At 50.3% G+C, this 26,825-nt stretch overlaps 1 protein-coding gene and 2 long non-coding RNA genes across 55 annotated transcripts in view, besides 1 other annotated feature; 2 read left to right on the top strand and 1 right to left on the bottom strand.

Annotated features, from left to right (window-relative positions):
• EPB41L1 (erythrocyte membrane protein band 4.1 like 1) overlaps positions 1-26,825 on the bottom strand; it is a 141,386-nt gene that overhangs the window by 62,034 nt on the left and 52,527 nt on the right. For 40 of the 53 annotated variants that reach the window (NM_001433605.1, NM_012156.2, XM_047439966.1 and 37 more), the window contains exon 1: positions 15,870-16,026. The exons of the other annotated variants lie outside the window; for them this stretch is intronic. The gene's annotated coding sequence lies outside the window, so the exon portion shown is untranslated. Of the gene's footprint in view, positions 1-15,869; positions 16,027-26,825 lie in introns of those variants that run through there. 53 annotated transcript variants of the gene reach the window in all.
• On the top strand, positions 15,006-23,485 carry EPB41L1-AS1 (EPB41L1 antisense RNA 1). Its single transcript, NR_147703.1, has 4 exons — positions 15,006-15,170; positions 15,512-15,703; positions 20,856-20,943; positions 22,008-23,485. It is a non-coding gene; the product is annotated as an EPB41L1 antisense RNA 1 (long non-coding RNA).
• Positions 16,088-16,287: a silencer, noted in NCBI's record as "silent region_12870". NCBI's record gives its function as "represses an Ori minimal core promoter by ATAC-STARR-seq in GM12878 lymphoblastoid cells {active_cell/tissue: GM12878}" and the evidence as "EXISTENCE:reporter gene assay evidence [ECO:0000049][PMID:35858748]".
• On the top strand, positions 16,320-18,097 carry LOC124904893 (uncharacterized). The gene is made up of 2 exons (XR_007067572.1): positions 16,320-16,869; positions 17,680-18,097. It is a non-coding gene; the product is annotated as an uncharacterized LOC124904893 (long non-coding RNA).

The following is a 26,825-nucleotide window of genomic DNA, read 5'->3' as shown; positions in this document are numbered from 1 at the left end:
AGTCATTTCCTCAGAAACCAGGTTTCCCTGGTTCCTCCGCCCACTCTCCTCCCTCCCCAGCCTCCAGACTCCCCAGATCCTAACTCTAGGTCTGCCTTCTCTCCACTGTACTTGGCTGCCTCAAGCAAACCCCAACAGAACCCCCCAAAGGAGAAAGTACTCAGGTTCACGCTAGACACCAAGGACGTGGCAGGAGCCACCTCTGCATTCCATGGCCAGGGGCTAGTGAGAGAAATGATGGCTTATCCACTCTAAAGAGTTAAGGAAAAAAACGTAAAAAATCATGGAAAAGATTTGAGTAAAAAAAGCATGATACACAATAGTTTGTACAGATTATCTCTGTGTTAATGAATACACATGCACAGATACAGAAAACTCAGCAAAGTATTAACTATAGTTATTTCTGGGTGGCGGGAAGACAGATTATTATTTTTTCTTCTGTTTAACTGTAGTTCTTGGTTTTGCTACTATACTTGGAGATTCCTTGAATGAGTTTAAGTTAGAGGTCAAAAAAGAAATTTTTCTGAGGCACATGGCTTGGTATGGCAGTATGAGAAGGAGATAAAATCTGTTTAAACCTTTTAAAAATTTATAAATCAAAAATAACATCTTTAAAAAAAAAAATCTATGATGAAATCTTTATTTCACAAATCCAAGGATAACAGCATGGTTCTCTCACTAGGCCACAGAAAGGGAGCCTAGGTGGCCGTGGCTTCTGACATAGCCCGTCACGTGGGCATGGTTCTGCCCAGGCCCAGGTGAGCACAGACTGATGGAGCCTGCTGTGCGGCTAGGCTGGGCCAGGCACTGTAGTGGCCCCTGGAGGGAAGCACGTGCTGGTTCCCGAGGAGCTGGCTGCAGTGTGGGAAGAGGATGCTCACCCAGGAAATGGCTAAACACTCATGCAGGAGATGATTTAGATTTGCCATGTATGTTTCAGCCTCTCAGCAGAGTCTGGGGACCTGGTGATCTGGACTATAGCCTAGAGTTCCCAAAGGAAGCTTCTAGGGTGGGGAGGTGAAGGTGGAATTAGGTGTTGAAAAAAGGGAGCCATTTAGACAGGAGATGCAGGGAGAGCATTTGAGCTGAGTCACCATGTGGGCAAATGCCCAGAGATGGGAAGAAGGGGGTTGGGCAGGGGATAGAGAGGAGACCTTGACATTCTGGCACTTCAGAGTGAGAAGCCTGTAAAGGTGAGCACCAAACAGCCTGGAAGGAGGAACTGGTTGGAGCTTGGGAGGAGTGACGGAGCTGGGAGCCTTGCTGGGAGTCAGAAGCATCACTGTGCAGGAGAAGGACAGAGATCCCAACACTAAGCGTTGCTGCCAGCCAGGCCCAGGGCTAGAGACTTCACACAGTCATTCATGGACCTCTTGAAGGGAGGTAGAGCAGGCGGCCCTGTGGCTCAGTGCTTCACAGCACAGGCTGTGGAGTCAGGCAGACCCAGATCCAAAGCCTAGTGCCAATGCTTGCTCACTCTGTGACCTTGGACAAGTGACTTCACTTTTCTGAGCCGGAGTTGCCACTTTTTTTTTTTTTTTTTTGAGACAGAGTCTTGCTCTGTCACCCAGACTAGAGTGTAGCGATCTCAGCTCACTGCAACCTCTGCCTCCTGGGTTCAAGCAATTTCTCCTACCTCAGCCTCCCGAGTAACTGGGATTACAGGTGACCGCCACCGCAGCCAGCTAATTTTTCTATTTTTAGTACAGACGGGGTTTCACCATCTTGGCCAGGTTGGTCTCGAACTCCTGACTTTGTGATCCACCCGCCTTGGCCTCCCAAAGTGCTAGGATTACAGGCGTGAGCCACCATGCCTGGCCTTGAGTTGCCTGTTTAATAAAACAGAGACACTCCTCCCTCCCTCTCAGGATGGTGAAGGAGATTTAGGAAAATAACACAGAGAAAGCCCTTAGTGGCCCAGTGTGGCGGCTCACGCCTGTAATACCAGCACTTTAGGAGGCTGAGGTGGGCAGATCACAAGGTCAGGAGGTGGAGACCATCCTGGCCAACATGGTGAAACCCTGTCTCTACTAAAAACACAAAAATTAGCTGGGCGTGGTGGCACGTGCCTGTAATCCCAGCTACTCGGGAGGCTGTAATCCCAGCTACTCAGGAGGCTGAGGCAGGAGAATGGCTTGAACTGGGAGTCGGAGGTTGCAGTGAGCCGAGATCGCGCCACTGCACCCCAGCCTGTCAACAGAGGAAGACTCCATCTAAAAAAAAAAAAAAGCACTTAACATGGTATACACCCAATAAAACAAGCCTGAGACGTAGGGTCTATAATTACCAGCAGTAATGGGAAGCTGCAGTGAGGAGGGGCCTGAGAACGGGACTTCAGAAGTGTCCACCCACAACAAATGGAAAAAGAGATGTTTCTAACAGACAGAGGCCAGCAGGGCCAGACTGATGACACTAACATATGAAAGGCCTAATGCACAGGATTAGAAAAGAGAAAGGTCAGCCAGAGAAGTAAATGCTGACAGCGCCTGTACTTACTCTGTCTGGGGGAAAGGGACCCAGTGAGGCCAGGGATGCTTGCCTGGGCTGGGGCTGGCCCAGCACACTGTCAGCATCTGACCCTCTTCAACACCCTAACCACCTTCTGGCTCCTCTAGCTCACCTTCCAGGGGCACTCAGCAGCCTTCTCACCTGTGGCTGTTTATCTGGGTGGCCTGCAGGGAGAGGGTGTCCTAGCCCAGATGAGGCAATATCCACTCAGCCTGGCAGTGAAACCACTCCTTAAAAAATGAATCAACTGGTGTCCGGTTTATACATCAGGCCCTCTAACCAGGGTTAGCATGAGTCAGCATCTCTGAGTCCAGTAACTTGGATTTGCTTCTTTTCTCCATCACCATTGCAACTGCCTAAATCTAAGCCACTATCAGCTTGTTCCAGGGGCTGCCCCAGCCTGCTCCATGGTCTCCCTGTGACCACTTGGGCCCTCCTAGAGTTTATTATCCACAAAGCAGCCATAAGAATCTTTCCAAAACTCTCAATGGACACCCTCTTTATTTATTATTTATTATTATTGTTATTATTATTATTATTAATATTATTGGAGATGGAGTCTCACTCCATGGCCCAGGCTGGAGTGCAGTGGCATGATTTCGGCTCACTGTAACCTCCACCTCCTGGATTCAAGCAATTCTCCTGCCTCAGCCTCCCAAGTAGCTGAGACTACAGGCACCCGCCACCATGCCCAGCTAATTTTTGTATTTTTAGTAGAGATGGGGGTTTCACCATGTTGCCCAGGGTGGTCTTGAACTCCTGAGCTCAGGCAATCCGCCCGCCTCAGCCTCCTAAAGTGCTGGGATTACAGGTGTGACCCACTGCACCCAGCCAGATGCCCTCTTTAAAACCCCCAAGGGCCTCCCATTAAAATAAAACACAAACTCTTTATCAAAGCTACAGACCTCTGTATATGGCTGTTGCCCATCTATTCAGCATCAGCTCCCACCACTACTGGTCCCCTATTCCCTCCCCAAGCCGCCACCATCACCATGAGCCTGTCACATTGGCTTTCCGTCTGTTCTTCGACTGTGCGAGGCTTTGGGGCTTTGTCCTTAATGATAGTCTGTAATGTTCCCTCTGCATGGACAGCTTGGCAGCTCCCACCTTCAGATTGTGAATCTGTGTGCCCCTTGACCACCCTGTCTAATTTATTTAGGTCCTTTCCCCTGTTTTTTTGGTTACAGCATGCTAGATTGTTTTGTTTTTGTTTCATTTTGCCATTGTTAACCATTGTTAAGGGTAACAATTCAGAGGCATTAATTACATTCACAATGTTGTGCAAAAATCACCACTATCTATTTCCAAAAATTCTTATCACCCCAAACAGAAACTTCGAATCCATTAAGCAAGCATGCTGGGTTGGGTGGTTGGTTTTCTCTTTCTTTTTTTTTGGAGACAGTCTCGTTCTGTTGCCCAGACTGGAGTGCAGTGGCATGATCTCAGCTCACTGCAACCTCCACCTCCCAGGTTCAAGCAATTCTCCTGCCTTGGCCTCCCCAGTAGGTGGGACTACAGGTGCACACAGCCACGCCCAGCTAATTATTTTGTATTTTAGTAGAGATTGGGTTTCGAATTCTTGGGCTCAGCCAATCTGCTCGCCTTGGCCTCCCAAAGTGCTAGGATTACAGGTGTGAGTCACCACGCCCAGCTGGGTGGTCGGTTTTCACAGTAATTATCACAAACTGATCTTCTATCATTGATTGATTTACTTATTTCTTTTTATCCCTCCTTCCAAAATAAACTCCATAAAGATAAGAATTTTGTCTGGTTAGCCATTATCCCCAGGGCTCAGCGCAGTTCTTGATAAATAAAAACAACATTATCATTTGTAGTCTGCTATTTGCTAGGCGCTGATCTGAGTACTTTACATCAATGAACTCACTTCATCTTCACAATAACCTATAATGGGTAATAGGTACTCTTATTATCCCTATTTTACAAAAGAAGAAACTGAAGCAGAAAAGTTAAGGAACTTGCTCCAGGTCACACAGCTAGTAAACAGCAGTGCCAGAATTCACATTCAGCAGATTTGGCATCAGATGGAGGGGTAGATGGATAAAAGGTTGAACACATGGATAACTGATGGATAGAACACAAAGAGACAATTTCTAGTCTACCCAACTGAGGATGGAGACCTGGGCTGCATTCACCTTGGGAGCCTTTGTGGCTACCAGCCAGCCTGCCTCTCCTGATGATTTATTTTATCTCAACACCTGATGTTTCCATCCAAAGTCCTGATATTATTCTCCTCATTTTACTAATGAGGATGCACACGTGCAAAGAGGCAAATGGATTTGTCCAAAGTCATAAGGCTGTGCCAGGTATCTCTGACTCCAGAGTTCTTCCCACTGTATGGCATTCCAGCAACCTCAGGGGGCTCATGCTGTACTGATTTCTCCCAGGGTTGGGGCTGGCTAAAGAAAGACTTCCCAAGATTGAAAAGGAAATATACTGGGAAGAGCTGAACTCAGAACTGGGACCACTGCTGCTTCAGTGCTTCCACTTCCGATCTGATCAGCTTTGGGCAGGTCACTTCCTCTTTCTTTCTTCTTTTTTGAGATGGATTCTCGCTCTGTCGCCCAGGCTGGAGTGCAGTGGCACAATCTTGGCTCACTGCAACCTCTGCCTCCCTGGTTCAAGCAATTCTCCTGCCTCAGCCTCCCGAGTAGCTAAGATTACAGGTGCATGCCACCATGCCCAGCTAATTTTTGTATTTTTAGTAGAGACAGGGTTTCACCATGTTGGCCAGGCTGGTCTTGAACTCCTGACCTCAGGTGATCCACCCACCTTGGCCCCCCAAAGTGCTGGGATTACAGGCGTGAGCCACCACACCCAGCCACTTCCTCTTTCTGAGCATGTTTCCTCATGTGTCAAACAGGGATGAGAGACCCTGTCCACATCAGAGGAAGGCCATGGAGATCAAGGCTATTACAGAGAATGGGAGGACTTTGAGATACAAAAGTTAATGTCCTGGGCCAGGCGCGGTGGCTCATGCCTGTAATCCCAGCACTTTGGGAGGCCGAGGCAGGCAAATCACTTGAGGCCAGGAGTTCAAGACCAACCCAGCCAACATGGTGAAACTTTGTTCCTAGAAAAAATACAAAAATTAGCCAAGTGTGGTGGTGCGTGCCTGTAATCCCAGCTACCTGGGAGGCTGAGGCAGAAGAATTGCTTGAAACTGGGAGGCAGAGGTTGTAGTGAGCTCAGATCGCACCACTGCACTCCAGCCTGGGTGACAGAACGAGATTCTGTCTCAAAAATAAATAAATAGCCAGGCGCAGTGGCTCACACCTGTAATCCCAGCATTTTGGGAGGGTGAGGCGGGTGGATCACCTGAGGTCAGGAGTTCGAGACCAGCCTAACCAATATCGTGAAACCCTATCTCTACTAAAAATACAAAAATTAGCCGGGCATGGTGGCAGGCTCCTGTAGTCCCAGCTACTCGGGAGCCTGAGACAGGAGAATTGCTTGAACCTCGGCAGCAGAGGTTGAAATGAGCCGAGATCATGCCACTGAACTCCAGCCTGGAGACAGAGCAAGACTCCATCTCAAAAAAATAAAATTAGATAAATAAATAAATAAAAAGTGAATATTCTGCTGGATACAGAGGAGACTATGTTATAGATGCTTATGACATGTACACAAGAAGCATGTCTTTGTATGCATAGGCACAGCAGTGAAACAACATGAGAACACACACAGCCACATGTATCATGCAAGCAAGGTTGTCTCTTCTAAACCCTGCACACCGATGACACCAAAGACTGTTGCCCAGGTGTTCTTGGAAATTCTGAACCAGGTGAGAGAGGAGATGGGGGGCAGGGGAGGGAGGAGACACCAAAACACCAAGAGACTCCCAGGCAGAAAAAAAGTCTCTTGTTTTGAATGATGTTTTTAATAGTCAGTTACTAAGACAACTCTTTCTGGGAAGTCAGAGGACATGTCTCTCCCATCTCCCTACAACCATGTCGCTTGGGTTGTTAGTCTCCATGTGCACCCCCAGATCCATGACCTGCTTGAAGAAGCAGGAGGCTGGCCCATTGGACTGTCCCTTGAGCTCCCTTGCCTCCTGGTTTCTGGTTCCATTTGGCCAATAGAAGACACTGGCAGGGGCCGGGCACAGTGGCTCACGCCTGCAATCCCAGCATTTTGGGAGGCCAAGGTGGGTGGATGACTTGGGGTCAGGAGTTTGAGACCAGCCTGGCCAACAAGGTGAAACCCTGTCTCTACTAAAAATATAAAAATTAACTGGGTGTGGTGGCAGGCGCCTGTAGTCCCAGCTACTAGGGAGGCTGAGGCAGACCTGGGAGGTGGAAGTTGCAGTGAGCCAAGATCATGCTACTGCACTCTAGCCTGGACGACAGAGACTCTGTCTTAAAAAAAAAATAATAAAGAAGAAGGCACTGGCAGGAATTCAGAAGGTGGAAGGAGAGAGATCCTGGGTGTATCTTCCCCAATTTCTCTCTCTGTGGTCCTGGTGGTGGCTGAGCCCCTCTGCGACAGCTCCCTGCCCACCTCTACCAGTCACGGAACTCAGGTAACACCACTCCCTCCTGCTCATTCAGGCCGAGAGCTAGTAATGCCTTCTGTCACTGTTAGTTTGTGGGTGCCTCACCATCCCATGTGGGTTCCCCTCACCCTGCTCACATCTTTATTAACATCTCCTCAGGTGAAGCATCTGAGTGGAATTCTGTTTCCTGTCAGAATCTGACTGATCCACCACCTGATGCTCACTTAGGATAAGGGGAGCCTGAGAAGAGGCAGAATAAGCTAAGAAGTCAAGGAAGGCAAGGGAACCGTCAGGAAGCCCCTTAACCTCTTTGTGCCTCAGTTTCTTCATCTGTAAAGTCATGATGATAAACTTACATACCTCACAGGCTTACTGTGAAAATGGAATCAGATCATGCCTGTAAAACACTAAACACATACCAGAATATTAGAAATATTTGCTCCAGAAATATTACTCTCCAATTAAGTCCAAAGACTAAAATGTTAACAATAGCCTTCCCTTGGAGAAGGAAATAGGGGCCTTTTTCTCCGTATTTTTCAATTTTCTACTATGAGCATGTATTACTTTCGGAGTCAGAAAAGAAAAAAGAAGAATTACAAGAAAAAAAAAAAAAAACAGAAAGAGTGCCTATTAGGGCTTATTCTTTCTCTCACTTGCTGGAGATGATGTGACTTCCTTCCCAAGGGGACTTCCCCAGTATGGAACACTCACTTCCCTGAGTGATAATGTCTACATGGACGTGAATGAAAGGATGGAGGGTACAGGCTGAGAGAGCTGCCTCTGAGACCTCAAGCCACTTTCACAGCCAGGCAAGAAGGATCAAAAAGGGAGCTGAGTCTGCAGTCATCCTGTCTGGTGCTTGGATTTGTACATGGCAGTGGGGAGACGGCAATTCGTCAGAGGTTTGCAGTACCCACGGACACCACTTTAGACCAAACAATGTGAAAAGGCCACCACCCATCAGCCTTGGCTTCTTGCCCAAAAGCTTCACGGGCCACTAGGGAGCCTCAGGCTGATGTGCAGTGGTGGGCTGGGGACCACGTGACAGCACAGAACTGCAGAGTAACAGCATTAAAACGGAGACATGCGTCCCACCTGGCCCATCCTGATGACGATGCAGAAGGCAGAGAGAGACCTCCCGTTAGCAGGGTATCCTCCGAGAGCTGGGCAACATGCTGGCTGTCTTTTGGGCTTTATCTTATTTGAGCTGCACAAGGGCCACACGGAGTAGGTGAGCTTATTTCCCAGGCGGCTTAGTGGCCAAGGCCACATGGCTAGTCAGTTTCAAGGAGAGCCAGGACTAGGACTCAAGTCTGCTGGCTCACAGTCCAGTGCTCTCCCCACTCAATGCTGCTACATCCCACGACCTCCAACTTGCTGTAAGCCATATAACCAAAGCTACTGTTGCTCTGGATGTAGAAATAATAACGGCAGTATCAATCCCTCCCACATGCAGGGCACTTTACAACTTAAAGGATCTTTTTATAATCATTTTGCTTGGACCTCACCAATTAGCCACTGTTGAGAGTGGGCAGGAAACAGCAGTTACAGACATGGGCTTATGAGCCAGAGCTGGAATCCTGATGCCACAGGCTTGGTGACCTTGGGCAGGTTACTTAACCTCTATTGAGAAGACTATCCCCTGCACCTCCAAGGTGTATAGTGAGAATTAAATGAGATAGGCAGGGTGTGGTGGCTCACGCCTGTAATCTCAGCACTTTGGAAGGCCAAGGAGGGAGGATTGCTTGAGCCCAGGAGTTTGAGAGCAGTCTGGGCAACAGAGCGAGACACTGTCTTTACCCTGTGCCCCCCCCAAATTAGCCGGGCATGGTGGGGTGCACCTGTAGTCCCAGCTACTCAGGAGGCTGAGGCAGGAGGATCACTAGAGCCTGGGAGTTTGAGGTCACAGTGAGCTGTGACTATGCCACTGCACTCCAGCCTGGGTGACAGAGTGACAGGCTGTCTTTAAAAAAACAAGAATAACGACTGGGCCTGTAATCCCAGCACTTTGGGAGGCTGAGGCAGGCAGATCACCTGAGGTCAGGAGTTCGAGACCAGCCTGGCCAACACAGTGATAACCTGTCTCTACTAAAAATACAAGAACTAGCCAGGCAGGTGGCACGTGCCTGTAATCCCAGCTACTTGGGAGGCCAAGGCAGGAGAATTGCTTGAACCGGGGAGGCGGAGGTTGCAGTGAGCTGAGATCCTGCCACTGCACTCCAGCCTGGGCAACACAGCAAGACTCCATCTCAAAAACAAAACAAAAAAACCCAAAAAACAAACAAACAAAAAAATAAGAAGAATAAAATAAAAAGAAAAAATAGAAAAACAGATAATGCACATGAAGCTTGCTCTAGCACAGTATTTGACATATAGAAGACACTCAGTGGCAGCAATGGCTCTGATCACCACCAGACAGATGGACAAACTGAGGTACAGAGAAGGTAGAAAGCTTGTCCAAGGACAGTCTGGGTGTGGGCAGCTGCACAGCCCAAGCAGCAGCTTAGAGCATCCTAAGAGAATTTGAAAATTTCCTAGGAGAGCTCCATACTGGGTGGGTGAAAGAAAGGGTCTTTCCCTGGGACATCACCACCTTTTGAGGGTGACAGAGAGATGGCCTCCTCCAAGACCAGTTCCCCCAGGCTCCAGTGAGGAGAGGAGGGAACAGGAGAAGGGAGAAGCAGCAGACCTTTGAGGGCAACTCTCACGGTCTCATGGTTTCTGACTCCTTCTCTCACTTGATTTTCACTAATTGTCTAAATACTGTTAGAGTTCAGTTAGCGTTACTTAGAATACCGTAAAATTGGAAACAACTTCAAATGTCAATCAACAGGGGGGCTGGCCAAATTAGTAGGGTTTATCCATTAAAAATTTAATTATGAAAGTATAACATACCTATTGCAAAAATTTTTGAGATAGATTTTATATCTACTGACATAAAAAGATGTCAATGTGTAGTTACATGAAAAATGCAAGTTGTAAAACAATAATGCAATGTATGATCCCATTCTGGTTTGTATGTTTATGTTGGTATAGAAAATATCCTGGAAGGATACACAACATGCTGTTATTAGCTACGACTGGAGAGTAGGATTTGTTTGGGGATCTAAGGGGAGAATACACTTTTTTTCTTTCTTTCTTTCTTTTTTTTTTTTGTGACGGAGTCTCGCTCTGTCACCCAGGCTGGAGTGCAATGGCGCAATCTCGGCTCACTGCCCCACAACCTCTGCCTTCCGGGTGCAAGAGATTCTCTTGCCTCAGCCTCCTGAGTAGCTGGGATTACAGGCGCCAGCCACCATGCCCGGCTAACTTTTTGTATTTTTAGTAGAAATGGGGTTTCACCATGTTGGCCAGGCTGGTCTTGAACTCCTGACCTCAGGTGATCTACCCGCCTCAGCCTCCCAGAGTGCTGGGATTATAGGCATGAGCCACCGTGCCTGGCCTACACTTCTGAATTATTAGATTTTCCACAAATTTTTTTTGTAATTAAAACTAAAGAAAAGTAAATATAACAGTAAAGAAATATTTGTTTTTCTGTTTTATTCACTTCCCATATGCTTGCTGGAACTCCATTTTCTACCTGTTTTCTTCCAATCTGTATCTATGTTCATACCTAATTTTATACCATTGTAATATGAATACTGATAATCTTATGGGTCTTCTTTCCCATTTAACATTAATTGTATCAGACCATTAATGACATCACATCATGACATCATCATCATCTCCACTAATGTTCATGGATACTTCACTATGTACTAGTTACCATGCCAAGATGTTTACATGCCTTAACTTATTCAATCTTGATGACAACCCTAAAACCAGGTACTTGGACTATCCACATTACAGCTGGGCAAACTGGGGCTTTGAAAGATTAATTAACTTGCCAATTGCCTCACAGCTAGTAAAAACAGAAAGAAGACTTAAACCCTGTTCTATGCAAGTGCCAGGTCCTCACTGGGAACCTCTCTGTCCTATTCCCCTCGAAGATAGTGAGTGGTTAGTGAGAAGAATGTGGCAAGTAGGGAATAGCAAGAATATGGCAGGCACTATGTCTTACAACTTGAGTGACCTTGATCAAGTCACTTCCCCTCTTGATTAGTTCACTCATTCTTTCATCGGACAAGTATTTGCAAACCACTGAGCAACATGCTGCGACGAAACAATGAATAAAATGTGAACTCAACTCTGCCTTCAAGGAGACTGGAGTCTAGCGTCATTCTCTTCAAACACAGAAAGGATCTAGCCCCGGCCCCACCTCTGTCGCAGAGCAGTCATAAGCACAAAATGAATCAAGGATGCAAAAGAGCTTTGCAATTGCACAGCTCCATCCACTGCAAGCAGTTTTTCTGTGGGTGTTCACCACTGCGTATTATTTTATCCAGTGGATGTTCCAAAGCTTTCCCAATCATCTTCCTATTGTTGGACACTTAGTCCCAATTTACTGCTATTATAGAGGAAGCTCTGATGGGGATTTATTCAAAAGAAATAATTCAAAGGAAAAACAGGCCAGATGTGCAAAAAAGATGCTACCCAATCTTCCAGATGACTAAAGGGAGACCAGCCCTTCTCAAACTCACCAGGCCTGAAACAGAATTCCTGACCCTGTGGCCTTACCCACTCCAAGCTCCTCCTTCTCCAACCTGGCGAACCACCCACTACCAGAGGGACACCTTAATGAGTGCCAATCTTGATCCCTCCCCAGCCCTCCAAGTCCCCACAGTTAAGGTTTCTCCTGTAAGATCACGTCCACCCTCTCCTGTGGATCATACGGTTGCCAAAAGGACCTTCCCAAAACACAGTTCTGTCATGCTCCTCAGCAGACTAAAATCCTGCAAAGATTCCTAGAGCATCCCGGCTCACGTCAAGTCGAAACACCTTGGCCTGACATTTAAGAGAGACAGAAGCGGGAGAGAAGTAATGTTTACTGAGTTCCTGCAATGTGTTAGCATTACACTAGGTGCTTTATATAACAACCACAACATGGTCCCTGTGAGACAGGCATGTTTATCTGCATTTTACGAATGAGGAAACTGAGGTTTGGGCCAGCTGAGTGATGTGCCCAAGGCCACGTGGCTAATACAATGCATTGCTGTGACTATAGCCTACGTCTGGTGGATTCCAGAGCTCCATCAAAAACCCAAACACTAGGTGACTTTCTGAGTCACCTCCCAGCTCACACTCCGCCACACACACTATCTGTTCCACGCACATCAGACCGCCCACTCTTCTTCAGAGGCATTCCTATTTCCTTCCCCTCTGACCTGGGGAAGTGGGTGCCCTTCCCCCTTCAACCATCGAAATCCGACTTGGCCTTCAGTGCCCAGCTCAAAGGTCCCCGTCTTCTTGAAGCCTTCCCTGAGCACCAAAATAGGAATCCATGCTGAGCCTATGCAATAGCACACTCTTTACTTTTAGTGTGTCATGTCTGCATCTCTCCCAGCTAGACTGGGAGGCCTTTGAGGAGAGGGATGCATCTGACTGAGTGACTATTTCAACTTGAACAAAACAGAGTATGGCCTCTGAGAAACTACAGGCTGCCTGGCATGGCCTTCAGGAACATGGCTCTGACCCACACTGCCTAGGTTTGAATCCTGACTCCCCCACAGCCTAGCTATTTGACCTTGAACAACTATCTAAGCCACAGCTCCATCAATCTGTAAAACGGGAAGAATAACTCCTATACCTCATCTACACCTCACAGGGCTTTGTGAAGAACGTATGAGTTGTACATGGAAGCCCTTAAAACTGGGCCTGGCACATAATAAATGCTCAATAAATGTTAGCTGTTACTATTCTGATCCACAAGCCTCTAGCCCACAAAGGAAGCAGTGCCAGCCTGCTCCACCCCCACCCATCCACCAAGGCTCAGCTCCCTGCCCACAGGGCCTCCTTAGCCCAGTCCCCACTGTGGCCTCGGGATGTGTCCAGAGCCAGCCCATCTTCCCTAAAAGCCAATGGGAGCAGGGAGTCTGGTGTTTCCCCACTTCTGGGGGACCCTGGCCAGGAAGGAGAAGGCCAAGGCTAATCCTTCTCTGAGAGCTCCTAGTCAGTACTTATCTACCCCTACCCCTCAGCACTATAGTAATATTCAGTCCACAAAGCCACCCTTGCCTCACCAGGCACACACACACACACCCCTCACACACCTCTCCACCTGGACTGGCCCTGGCCTACCAATGAATTGCCTGGCTCCACTGGACACCAACCTGGTACTTCCAGATATTGCCCCCAGTAAATGTCATGGTAGAAAGAAGGGCTCTGGACTCAGACCGCCTCGCACTTTCCAGCTGCGTAACTTTAGTCCAGTGACATAACCTCTCTGAGCCTCAGTTTCTCCTCTGTAAAAAGTGGATAATTAATCACATCTATCTGACAGGGTTACTGTGAAATGACTCAAAGCACTTCTTGCAGTACATGGCATACAGTAAGTTTCAATAAATACTATCACTTTGATTGTGTAATCATTGGTATTTATCTCCAGGCAGAGATGATCATCCTCCCCGCCCTTTTTTTTTCTTTGAGAGGGAGTCTCGCTCTGTCTCCAGGCTGGAGTGCAGTGGCACGATGTCGGCTCACTGCAACCTCTGCCTCCTGGGGTCAGGCGATTCTCCTGCCTCAGCCTCCCGAGTTGCTGGGGCTATAGGCGTGCACTACCACGCCCAGCTAATTTTTGTATTTTTAGTAGAGACGGGGTTTCACCATGTTGGCCAGGATGGTCTTCATCTCTTGAACTTGTGATCTGCCCGCCTCGTCCTCCCAAAGTGCTGGGATTACAGGCGTGCGCAATGGCGCACGCCTGTGTCCCCTTTTAACAAATGGGACAGAGAAGCCCAGAAAGGGGCTCTTAGGGAAGTCCCGGCAGGTGCTAACAAGCACCTCCCACCACAGCCTGAAGTCAGAAAACTCTCTGTTGCCCCCTGGAGGCTCAGGCCAGAACATCCCTGGGCACCTGGCATCCTCTCAGCTCTATGCACTTCCAAGAGGGTCCAGGACCACCCACGGCCCTTTCTCTCAGCCCTGACCTCTCCTGCTCACCTACTGAGGGCAAGGGCTGGGAGGCCAACATAACACCCCTCCTAAGGGATCAGGTAGCCTCAGGCTCCAGGCTACAATGCCTAGCCCTTGGCAGAGTCCTGTCTATAGCACAACCACCGCAGCAGGGAAGCCAGCACCTGAGCTGCAAGAGCCCCAGAACAAGAGGTGGAAGACCTGGGTACATTAATGCTGACTCCCCCGCTCAGCTGCTTTGTGACCTTGGCCAAGTCACTCTTACTCTCTAGGCCCCGTTCAACCTTTCAATATCGACTGAGTGAGGACTACCTGACCAAGCATTGTTTTCATGCAGGATTCTATGGAAGAAGCTCTTCAAGAAGCTCACAGGGCTGAGCCCAGGAGGACTGTCACATAGCCCAGGAAGGGCTTTAATAGGAACAATGCCCTCTGCACTGATCTCCTCCAGGACTGCCTTGAGGTGCCCCTGAAATCCCAGGGACTGTGCTCTGCATGCCATAAATACTATGCCTGGGTTGCCAGGCAGGCATGACCTCAGGCTGGCCAGGAGAAGCCAGCTCCATCCTTGCACAGAGCTGGCAGAGCCTTCCTGGGCCACGGTGGCTCATAGGGGAGGCTGGCACAGGCTGCCTCTGCCGCAGGCTCCATCTGGAGGAATGGGTGGGCAGAGAGGCACACAGCTGCCTCTATTCTCCACACCCTTGCCCGGGACAGGAGGCACTGTCTTCCAAGAGCTGCGGAGGGCACCATCCAGGCCCCAGATCTTGACCTGGCTCAAGTGCCACTGATTCTGGAAGGCTCCTAATGCTGAGGGTGGGGGGATGGGGTGGGAATGAAGCCAAGCCGCTGGACCCCGCACAGCCCTGGAGAGGTCCTAAATCTGGCCGTCTCACATTCCCACCTTTGGGTGCAGAGGAGGTGCTATGCGGATCCAGAAGTGAATGTGGGAACACGTGGTGCTCTCTCCCCCACCAATGCATCCTCAGAGCTCCGAGGGAAAAGCAACGACGATGGCTGGCAGCTGAGGGAGAGACCAGCATCCCCAGAACTCCCTTTTGGTCCTTGTCCAGACTTCAAGGTCTCCATGGACCACTTTGAGCCATATACGTCTGCCAGTCAGTGGCCTCTGCACCCAGTAAGTACCCCAATGGCTGTAGACATTGGCCCCCCATGCCCATCCCTGAGACCCCAGCCTCTCGGGCCCTTGGACCTCCCCAAGTGTGAAGGTGCCAGACACAAGTGGGACACACAAGCCCTCTCCCTCTGATCAGGGGACGGTCACTGGCCAGGACAATGCCAGGCCAGAACTGCAGAAGTCCTAGGGCTAAGATCCCTCCTAGCAGCTCTGAGGTACTTGGAAGGGAGACGGAAGGGGAGGCAAGCCCAGAGCGGGGAAGGGTCCGTAACCAGAGTGAGGAGAGATGAGGGCAAGGGCTCGCCAGCATCCCAGGCTCCAGCCAAGAACTCCTCCTGCAGCGTCAGAAGCAGCAGAAATCCAAAGAGCCCTTGGCCTCTGGAGGCGGCAGCAGGAGTGCTCTCCGAAAAGAGACTGGGCCAGCCGGTGGGAGCCCAGCGCCCACCCACCGCTCATCCTACAGCAGGACCAACCCCCCGCCAACCCCCAGCCTCCGGATCCTCTCTCCAGGCCTTGGAGGAGGCTGCAGACCGGTAGGTAGGGAGGAACAGCGAGACCCTCCCCCACACTGGCCAGGGGACCAACAGCCTGAAAACTCAGTTCTCGGCCTCGCCCCCGTTCCTCCCCAGGGCTGGAGGCTGGGCCTAGATGTTGCAAGCCCCCGGCCCCGAGAGCCACCTGATTCCCCCATGTGCCTACCTGGGCCCGGGGTTCCCCATGTCGGGCAGGTTGGGCGAGGGGCGGCCCCCTCGGCTCCTCTGGCAGGCAGGCCGCGGGGCGGGGCGGCGCGGGGTCGCGGCGGGCTCTGCGGAGCAGCCTGTTCGGCGACACCCCCGCCCGCTGATGGATGCCGACTGCAGCAGCGGCGGCGGCGGCGGCGGCTCGGCGTGCGCCAGGGGCTGGGCACGGTGCCCACAGCCCCGGGCCTGGCGCCCGACGCGCGGCCAGCCCCCGCCCCCGCCCCGGCCTCGGAGCCCAGCCCAGGGGCGGCCGCCGCTTGCGCCTGCCTCCCAGCGCGCCGCGGCCCTGCCCCTGCCTCCGCCTCCTCTCTGCCTGTCTCCTCTACCACCCACCTCCCCCCGCGCCCCGCCCTCTCTCTCAGGCTCCCAGGCCACCTCCTCCCGGTCCGTGCCACACGGGCAGTTCCCAGACCACTGCGGGACTGTGCAGCTGGGGGGCCTCTCGAGCGCCCCGGCTGCCCCCACCCTGGTCCTAGCCAGCCCCGGGCCTCCTTGCTCTCGCCAAGCCCTCTTGGGGGCTCATCAGCGAGAAAGGGAGGGGGAGGAGAGAAGAGGGGGATGCATGCCTGACTCAGAAGGGGTGACTCAGCCTCAGTGGGCCTCCCATCCCACCGGAGCCGGATCCCCTCACCACCCCTGCAGCACAGCGACAGGGCAGAACCCGCCTAGGACTCGGCGTCCTCCCCCACCGGGAGGAGGTATTACAACTGTCTCCTGGGAATCCTCTGTGCCTCTGAGTGTGTCCAGAGGGTGTCTATGTGTACATTTGTCCACATGCGCCTTGGTGACAATGACAGTAAGTGTAACAGTGAGAGCCCAGGGACCTATTGGGGATGGGGCCTGTGTACAGGCGCACTTGCTGTATGTGTCTGAGCACAGGCTGAGTGTGCACCTGAGCTCCAGGAAAGGGCAGGGGCTGGCCAAGCAGCTTGTGGCAGAGATCATGGCTCAAAACCAAGGTAAGCCATGCTCCTCCCCTCCAGGAGCACTGTTACCCACTAAAAAAACCAGTCCAACCACTGCAGCACCTCCATCTCACACAATCCGAAGGTGGGGACCTCAAGCCACAGAGGACTCTGGGAGGGAGAGGGCCTGGGTTCCAGTCCAGGTCTGCCACTGGCTCAGCAAGTACCCTTGGGCAAGTTGTTCCATGCTCTGGGCCTCATTTGCAAATGACGAAAGGGCTGGACGTTCCTATCTCTAGGGTCCCTAGTTCATGGCGAAGGCATAGAGAGAATGGTGGGTAACCGCAGCATGATCTCCAAAGATTTCTGTCCATGGGTCCACTGCAACCCATATGACCGCGAACCCCCAGTCACCACCCTCACCTCCAGGCATACACAACTATTCATTCATTCTTCACATCATTCCTAAGTACCTACCATGTGCTGGCCATAGTTCTTACCACAGAATCCACTGCCCTGGGAAGCACAGAGGCCCCAAGCTGGGAAGCAGCCTCGATGTGAGCTGAGCCCTCCATCCTTCCCTGATGCGATTCCCTCAGTATCAGCCTCACCAGTGGGCTCTCCATCTCTGCTTGTCACACACTATAGAGCCAGGCACCTCCCTCCCCCAACTCCTCCCTCCCAGTGTGCTGCTCCATCATGGTGACCTTCTACCCTGGGTCCTCATAGGCACTCTAGGGCCTCCAAAGAATGAGGCTATGCCCTCTCCTCAGCACCCTTTAGAGAACTCAAGATACAATTGCGTCCCTTTGTACCATGCCCAAAGCAAGCCTTCTCTTCTCCAACTTAAACCTCCTTCATCAGGTGTCTTTAGACAAAGCTTCCGGTGCCTTCACTCCCCCTGCTCACCAGGTTCAGCAGCGGATGAAGAGCAGAGAGCAGAATGAAGCCAGCTTCTCCCAGTCCTAGAGAACAGGCCCACCCTCCAGACAGAAGGTGGGAAGACAGACAAATCTGCCCAGGCCGACTGACAGAAGGACGAGTGTCCTGCTTGGCAGCCTTCTGTACAAATCCTGTCCTTTGCCTTTGGACTTCTCATCCCCAGGCCTTTCAAATTCACTTTTTCCCAGGAGCTCCCAAGGGAGTCTCACACAGGCCCCTGGGGCCGTGGCCTTGGGCAAGTCACTTTGCCACACAAGGTGCTCTGTTTGAGTTTAGCTCACCACACATTTATTTAAATGAATGAGTGAAAGGACCAATAAAACTCAGGAGTTATACCAGATGCATTTATTGTTTCAGATGCACAGCTGCTAAGAGATTCTTGACTGCCTGCCTTCAAGTATTTTGATTCCAAATAGGCTCAGTCTCCCCTGCTGGCTGAGCCTTCCCAATCGTGGGCTCCCGTGGGCAGGAGGCTCTGGGCTGCATGGCCAAGGCTCTCTCTGTTCCTCTTAGTTCAACTCTCCTTCCCTGGCCATCTCCCTTTCCTTCCTTCCCCCAGGCTGAAGCCCTCCCCACTCCTCCCCTGGGGCAGGGCCACTTTCCCACCCTCCTCAACCAGATGGAGCCTCTCACTTTCCCAGGAGAATCCAGGCTACACTCCAAAGACCGAGGCAGGATGTTCCCAGACATCGTTCTGCATTTATACCCAAAGGGCTCAATTCACTTCAGGTCATTGAGACCACACAGAAAATGAGGCTTCTGCTATTTTAATTATTTTGATTATTATTATTATTCACTAACATTTCTATTAGCACTTTCCAGTTTGCAAAATACTTTTGTGTGTCATCTGCACAGCATCTTGTGAGATAATATCATCCCTCATCTTTTTTTTTTTCTTTTTTGAGACGGAGTCTCGCTCTGTTGCCCAGGCTGGAGTGCAGTGGCGCGATCTCGGCTCACTGCAAGCTCCGCCTCTCGGGTTCACGCCATTCTCCTGCCTCAGCCTCCCGAGTAGCTGGGACTACAGGCGCCTGCCACCACCATGCCCAGCTAATTTTTTTTTGCATTTTTAGTAGAGATGGGGTTTCACCATGTTAGCCAGGATGGTCTCGATCTCCTGACCTCGTGATCCGCCCGCCTCGGCCTCCCAAAGTGCTGGGATTACAGGCGTGAGCCACCGCGCCCGGCCCCCATCTTATAAATAGGCAGGCTGAGGCTCAGAGTGGGAGTGACTTGCCCAAGGTTACGCTTACACAGTTACACTGGCTCCCTGGACTACATACTTTCCACTTTACCCAACAATAACCCTTTCCAGAAAAATCAGGCTGGAGGAAGCAGGAGAGACACTTAAGAATGTATGGCCCCCATAGGCATCAGTTGCAATTACTACTTGAGTTACTTGACTGTTTTCATTCCCCAGGCAGGGAAACTGAGGCACAGGGATAGGACTCAACCTAGGACCAAGTCTCATGGAGAAAGAAGGAAAGAGGAGCCCATCCAAAAAAGGGGTTCCTCAGTTCCTTAGCTGCAAATTCTGCTTCCAGCCCTAGCGCTACCATTTCTTTTTGTATTACTTAGGCAGGTTATTTGACATCTCTGAGCCTCAATTTTCTCACCTATAAAATGGGAGAATCCCTGCCCCATGTCTGTCACTGGGCTGCTGTGATGGGAGGTCAGCAGATGCTGGCAGAAGAGAAGGGACAGGACCCTTCATTCCCTCTCTGCTCTGTCTAGGAGGCAGGAGAAATTCTTTCCTCTTAAATTTTAACTGGATGGAACTTAATGGTGCAAAAGTCCAGGATACAGGAAAGCCAGGAGGAGAACGGAAGTGATTCGCTCCACTGGCTGGGAAAGCAAGGGACACAGAGTCAGCCACAGACCCCCAAGGTCACTGCGGGGCAGAGATTCAACCAAACACTTCAGGCAGGGCCCCTCCTATCTCCCTTTTATCTTTCAAAGGAGGAAACCAAGGTTCTAAGCAAAGCAGTGACTTGCCAAGGTCACCCACAAGTAGTCAGTGGTCTCCTGACTCCCAGCCACCAGGGCCCTTGACTACTGGGCAAGCAGGGTGGGGTGGGGAGCACTCCCAGCCCAAGGACTTAATCTTTCATTCAGCAAGCAGTAATGCTCACACCAAGCCAGGCCCTGGACACTGGGGAAGGCTGGAGGAATTGAATACAGCCTCTGCCCTTGAATTCACAATCAATCTAGTGGAGGCACGTACCCCAGCACATCAGAGGATACTAGAAGGTGAAGCACCACCATTTTCTGAGCACTTCCTCTGTGCCTGGCACTGGACACACATTCATTTGTTTAATCCTCAAAGCAATTCTCTGGCACTGAAATTATTAATCCCTTTCACAGCTGAAGTAACTGAGGCTCAGAAGGGTTAGCGACCCCAAAGTTCATCCAGCTAATAAATGGCAGGGTCGGAATATGACTGACAGGTATGTCTGGTGCCAAACTCTGAGCTTCAACCCTTATAAACTCCCTGTTTTTAGGTCTGTGCTAACCAATATGGTAGCTACTAGCCATGGCTAGTTGCTATGGAGCACTTGAAATGTGGCTCGTTCAAATAAAAATGTGCTGTAAATATAAAAATCAGATTTTGAAGATTTCATACCAAAAAGAATGTAATATGTCTCGGGCATGGCTCACACCTGTAATCCCAGCACTTTGGGAGGCCGAGGTGGGCGGATTACCTGAGGTCAGGAGTTCGAGACCAGCCTGGCCAACATGGTAAAACCCCATCTCTACTAAAAATACAAAAATTAGCCGGGCATGGTGGCATGTGCCTATAATCCCAGCTACTCCAGAGGCTGAGGCAGGAGAATAATTGCTTGAACCCAAGAGGCGGAAGTTGTAGTAAGCTGAGATCGTGCTATTGCACTCCAGCCTGGGGGACAAGAGCGAAACTCCGTCTCAAAAAAAAAAAAAACAAAAAAACCTTATGAATGTATTGGGTTAAATAAAACAAATCATTTGAATAATTACATCTGTTTCTTTTGACTTTTTTAAAAAATGTGGCTACTAGAAAATTTAAAATTGCGTGTGGCTTGCACGTGTGGCTCACATTATATTTCTTTTGGTCAGTACAGGTTTAGATACTCTGGGGTCCTAACTCAGCCCATAGGGATCAGAAAAGGCTTCCTGGAGGAGAAGACACTAAGCCAAGCTGGGTTAAAGGTGAGGTCATGGGGAGGAGGGTGTTCCAGGACAAGAGAGCTGGAGGGCAGCTGGCTCCTGCCCGGGAGGGCAGCCGGGCCCAGTGACAGCCCCAGGCCACTGGGAGCTGGGCCAGAGGGAGGGAGCTAGCGGAGCCAAACTTAACAGAGCAGCATGACCCACCATTCTGGGAAGTGCTGCCTGGCAGGCTGTTTCACTGAGGTTGGCACTCTGCAGAGGGCACCACAGGGCAGCTGTGTCTGGGTGGAGGAAGTAGGCAGGGTGGACAGGTGGCAGTGCCCACCTTGCAGGGACCTCCCCCCTCCAGCTGCCCCCTACTTCCTCTTCTCCATCTTCTCTAAGAAGCCTCTCAAAGCACTGCAGTTCCCAGAGACCTTACCCTTCCCTGTAACCTTCCATCCAGCCCAGACCGTGGGAACCACACCCTCCTGCGTTAAGCCTTATTCTAGTGTGGAATGATGAGGATGCCTGCAAACTGCATAGCAGGTCACAGTATACAAAGCACTTTTCCATACGTATCTAGTGTAGTGTTGTTGAACAGCCTAAGGGCAATGTTCACCTCTGGCAAAGGGGCTGGGGCAGGGATGGGGGACATTTATTAGCACAGGAGCTGCATGACCTTGAGCAAGGCCTTAGCCTCTCTGAGCCTCAGTTGCCCCATCTGTACAATGGGGATAATATCAGCACCGTCTTCCAGAGCTATGAGAATGACATGCAAGAATGCCCACAAAGGCTCTGTTTGGTGCTGGCATGCTCCAAGCTCCCTTCTGCACCTCAGATGGACCCCACTAGGGTGCCCCTCAGTACCCTCAGTGTCTCCAAAGCCTGCCCATTCTGAAGGTTGCCTCCCTTCCAGAAAGCCTGGCCCCATCTCCGCCCCGCATGCTCCCCCAGCCAGTTTCTTCTTCTCTGCCTACTGGACCCTCATCTCATCCTTGCCTCTACTTTTGAATTTGGGGCTCCGTTGTCATGAGGCTCTCCAACGTCTCCAGTAAGACTGTCATTTCTCAAAGCTGGGAACCTCAGCTCTGGTCCATGCCCCTCTTCCTCTTCTATACCCACAGCCAAGCCCCCTGTACATGTCTGGGCATCCCAGAGGCTCTCACAGACCGCTCCAGTGGCTTGGACAACTGATTGCCATCTTTGGCTAAAAACAATGCTGGTCTCCACAGAGCACAGTAAGAGGATCTGGTCTGGCTCTGCTTCCTCAATGGAAGAAGCTTCAGTGGCTCCTCATTCTCTGATGAAGCAACTCAAATACCTCAGCCCGACTCTCAAGACCTTCCACAGCCTGGTCTCACCTGGCTCTTCAGCCTCATTCTCAGATTCCATGTGATGAGCTTTGTCAAACTGACTGGTTCCAGGTCCCCAGGGCACAGTGGCTGTGCCCTCTTCTCTGCCTGGGAGACCCTCTTCCCATTTCCCATAGTTATTCTTCTAGGCATTCTCCAGGAAGTCGTTCCTGAACCCTTCCTCTTTGCACCAACTCCTCTGGCTAGAAATAACCTCTTGGCCTCTCTGTCTCCGTCCTGCCACCCTCAAGTTCAGGGTCATGTGACCTGTCCAAGGGTTTTAAACTTCCATTGCACTATGAGCTTTAGGATAATGGCCACTTTTCATCATACTCCCTTCCCTCCGCCCACACACACCCCTGAAGGCCCACATCAGTGCCCAGTTCACAATATGTGCATAGTATGTGTTGGCCATCTTCACACCGAAAGCCAGAGGCCAGGGAGCAAGTAGGAGTCAGGAGTCCACCCAGGATGCCAGGACACTCCTGAGGCTGAGTTCTGCCTTATCTCCACCTCGGCTATGTTTCTTAATAGGTCCCCATGCTTCCAGCTGCTTCTTGGGAAATCAGCCCCTCTAGGAGGTCTGGGAGCCACATTCCTGAGGCCAGAACATGAAAAATCTGGCCATGTACCCACTAGATACAGATGTCCACCCAGCCTCCCGTCGGGTGCCTGAAGTGTCAGCTGAGGTTTGCATCATCACAGCATCTCTAATTCCTTGCAGTCAGAAGAGAGCTGGAGAGTATCATACAGAGGCTGGGAGCAGTGAGAGGCAACAGGAGAAAAGCTGTGTGTGTGTCCCTGGTCCCAGGTGCCAGAAGGTGCTGCAGCATCACCATCAATTAACATCGCCATTGCAGAGAGCATCTGAGTCCCCACTTATGTGCTGGCACTGTGCCTAGCAACTTGCCTATATTTTCAATTTTAAATCTCCTACTTCCCTGTAAGGCAGACATTATAGATCCACCTTGATTTTACAGGGGAGGAAACTGAAGTTAAATCACTCATCCAAGGTCACACTGCTAGTAGGTGCAGGGGCCCAGGATTCAACCCCAGGCATGCCTGACTCCAAGGCCTGTGTTTGTTCTATCATTAATCCTACACACATTGGGCTTCACACAGGTTTATTCTGGAGATACTGACATATTCTGTTCATGTCTGGGGGGTAGTTACACAAGTATGTGTAAACTTATGATCTGTGCACTTTTCTGTGTTTATGTTATAACATCAATAAAGTTTCCTTTTTTTAATGTTTTTGTCCCAGAGATGAATATATGCTAGAGATTTTCAGGATGTAAAATACTCTTAGGATTAGAGTCTAAAGCCAGAAAGCTGTTTCTATCTTTTTTTCCTCTGTTTTGTTGTTGCTGTTATTATTGTTTTGAGACAGGGTCTCACTCTGTCGCCCATGCTGGAGTGCAGTGGTGTGATCATGGTTCACTGCAGCCTCAACTTCCCCGGGCTGAGGTAATCCTCCTACCTCAGCCCCCTAAGTAGCTGGGACTACAGGTGTACACCACCATGCACTGCTAATTTTTATATTTTTTGTAGAGATAGGGTTTTGCCATGTTGCCTAGGCTGGTCTCAAACTCCTGAGCTCAAGTGTTCTACTCACCTTGGCCTCCCACAGTGCTGGGATAACAGGCATGACCCACTGCACCTGACCTCCTTTTTTTTTTTTTCTTTTCAACAGTTTTTCCATTTAAAACAGGGACTGTTATGAAGACCTCATAACCCCCCAAGCCAGACCCAGCAGAATTTCACCTGCTGTCTGCTGTCAGATCACAAACATTTCCTTGCACTCACATTCCCAGCCCAGGTGCCCACTCCACCCAGCCAGCACTTCACTTCCAGAAGCTGGCACTGCTCTGCTGTCTTTTCAGTCCTCTCTTCATCCATCCATCTGCAGGGACCAGACGGCTAGACCAGCCGCTGCATCACTGGTTAATCCGCAACTTCACAAGGCAGCCAGGCAGTGACGCCTGAATGTTCCCATCTCCCCACACTAGGCCAGGCTGGGCAGAGAAGTCGTCTGTGTATGTAAACACAGCCTTCTGCTTAGGCAGCTCCTGCCGGACTCCCCTCGCCAACTGGGCCCTCTGTGGCTTTTATCTCCCTGCCTAAAATAACCATTGGCTTCAGTGGTTCTCTGGGCATGAATCAGACTCTCGTAGAAGCCTGTGAGCAGCTTGAGGACAGGGAAGTTATGGTACCGATCTCTGTATCCCCAGTGTGCCAGTACAAAGGTTTGTGGGATTTGTCGAACTCCTCTGTGTACCTGGAGGGACCTACAGTAGGAAGCAAGAGCTCTCTACAGAAAACAGTCACATCCTCCAAAAGCTCACAGTTTAGTAAGAGAAAGTACCCACACCAGCCAACTGCAATGTAAAACAGAAAGCACTAAAGGTTGTAAGAAGAGGACAGAGTGTTGGGGAGTTCAGAGGAGAAAAAGATTAGAGAGCAGCAGGTGTCAAAGGAGGTTTCGAGGAAGAGGTCATATGTGGGTTGGGCATTAAAGGCAGGGCAGAAGGACAATGTAGACTGAGGAGAGAGCATAACACAAGCCATAGTGCTGGGAATTACAAGGTAGAATCAGGAAACGCTGCATATGACCTGGAGCCTGGGATACTGAGGGTTGAGGCTATCCCTGAGGAGATAGAAAGGAGCTGGTGCCAAGCAGAGCCTTGAATGACAAACCAAGTGCACTGCACTGTCTAGCAACTGGCCAAATGTGATTATTTAAATTTAAATTTAATGGAACAAAATGTAAAACTCATAGCCACATGTGGTTAGTGGTTACCATACTGGACGGTGCAGATGTAGAACATTTCATCACTACAGACATTTCTAGTGGACAGCAATGGTGGATAGTGTCAGAGGATCCAGAGAGCTTTGAGCAGAGGCATAATTAGAGCTGGGCTTTAGGAAAATTAATTTGCTCCTGGTGAAGACTCAGTGACCGGAGTGAAGGAGAAGCCTGGAACCACAGTGGGACATTGCAATAATCCAGGTGAGATCAGTCACCACTTCTTTTCCCTCTGTTCATCTCTTCCTATCAGGAAACAGGGATGATTCTAAAGTGTGGTCCCTGGAACACCAGCAATATCTGGGAACTCTTTTTTTTTTTTTTTTTTTGAGATGGAGTCTCCCTCTGTCGCCCAGGCTGGAGTGCAGTGGTGTGATCGCAATCTCAGCTCACTGCAACCTTCACCTCCCAGGTTCAAGCAATTCTCCGCCTCAGCCTCCCAAGTAGCTGGGATTACAGGCACCCACCACCACAACCGGCTAATTTTTTTGTATTTTTAGTAGAGACGGGGGTTTCATCATCTTGTCCAGGCTGGTCTTGAACTCCTGACCTCGTGATCCACCGCACCCAGCCTTATCTGGGAACTCTTAAGTACACAAATCCTCAGGCCCCACACAGACCTACTGAGTCAGAAACTAGGAGGTTTGGAACAGCAACAGTGCTTTCATCAGCCCTCCTGTGATTCTAACGCACACTGGAGTTTCAGGTCTGCCAGCATAGAGGCTAGGAGCCTACACTTTGGCTCCAGAGTGATGTATACTCTGGAGTCAGAGGACCTGACTTCATATCCTGGCTCAGTTGTTTCCTAGATGTGCTTAATCTATTTGTGCCTCAGTTTCCTTATAATAACCATATGGAGTTATTATAAGGATTAATGGAGCTAATACATGTAAATATCTTAGAAGAGTGTCTAACTTATAGTAAGTATTCAATAAATGTTACTTATCAGTCCTATTATTCACTCCTATGGCAGTTTAATTCCTCCCATATACAATGAGACAGCATCTGTCTCTTGCCACTAGCTATGACCTCCTGCCTTTCCATCATATAATATTCCCAGGCCCACTCAGCCATTCTATTTCCTGTCCTCCAGGACCCGAGGGTCAGTTCCTTTCCCACAAGGCAGAGGCACTTCCTGTATCAGAGAGTGTCCCACCAGGATAAGAATGTCAACAGACAGATTTAACTGTCCTGGGCAAAGATGCCCTCTAAAGGAATGAGTCAGGAGATGCCCCATGGGTTTTCCCCTGGGAGTGGGAAGGTCTGGAGGTGAGGGCTCAGCTGCCCACTGTGATTGAAAGCCTCAAGCCTGTTCAGTTGGATCCATGCCAGCCAAGAGGGTATGGAAAATGGTACTGTGATCCTGCCTACTGTAGGTAGCTAGACCCTGGCTCAAGGAACCAGGCAGGGGAGGGTGGCGTCCTGTGTGGCAGAGGGCGCTGGGCTGGGCATCAAGAAACCTTGATTTGACCTTTGCTGTGAGATCTTGGGCAGTCATTTTCCTCTCTGAATTCAATTTCCTTACCTGTAATATGAGGGGGTTGGACTAGCGCAGTTCTAAACCTTTTAGGGGGCTGGGCGCAGTGGCTGACGCCTGTAATTCTTACACTCTGGGAGGCCGAGGCGGGCAGATCACCTGAGGTCAGGAGTTTGAGACTAGCCTGGCCAACATGGTGAAACCCCATCTCTACTAAAAATACAAAAATTAGCCAGGGATGGTGGCGTGCGCCTGTAGTCCCAGCTACTTGGGAGGCTGAGGCAGGAGAATCACTTGAACCCGGGAG

This window comes from Homo sapiens, chromosome 20 (genome assembly GCF_000001405.40).
Source record: "Homo sapiens chromosome 20, GRCh38.p14 Primary Assembly".
Classification (NCBI taxonomy): domain Eukaryota; kingdom Metazoa; phylum Chordata; class Mammalia; order Primates; family Hominidae; genus Homo; species Homo sapiens.
The sequence above is the reverse complement of the archived record's forward strand: the minus strand, read 5'-3'. Positions and strand labels throughout refer to the sequence as shown.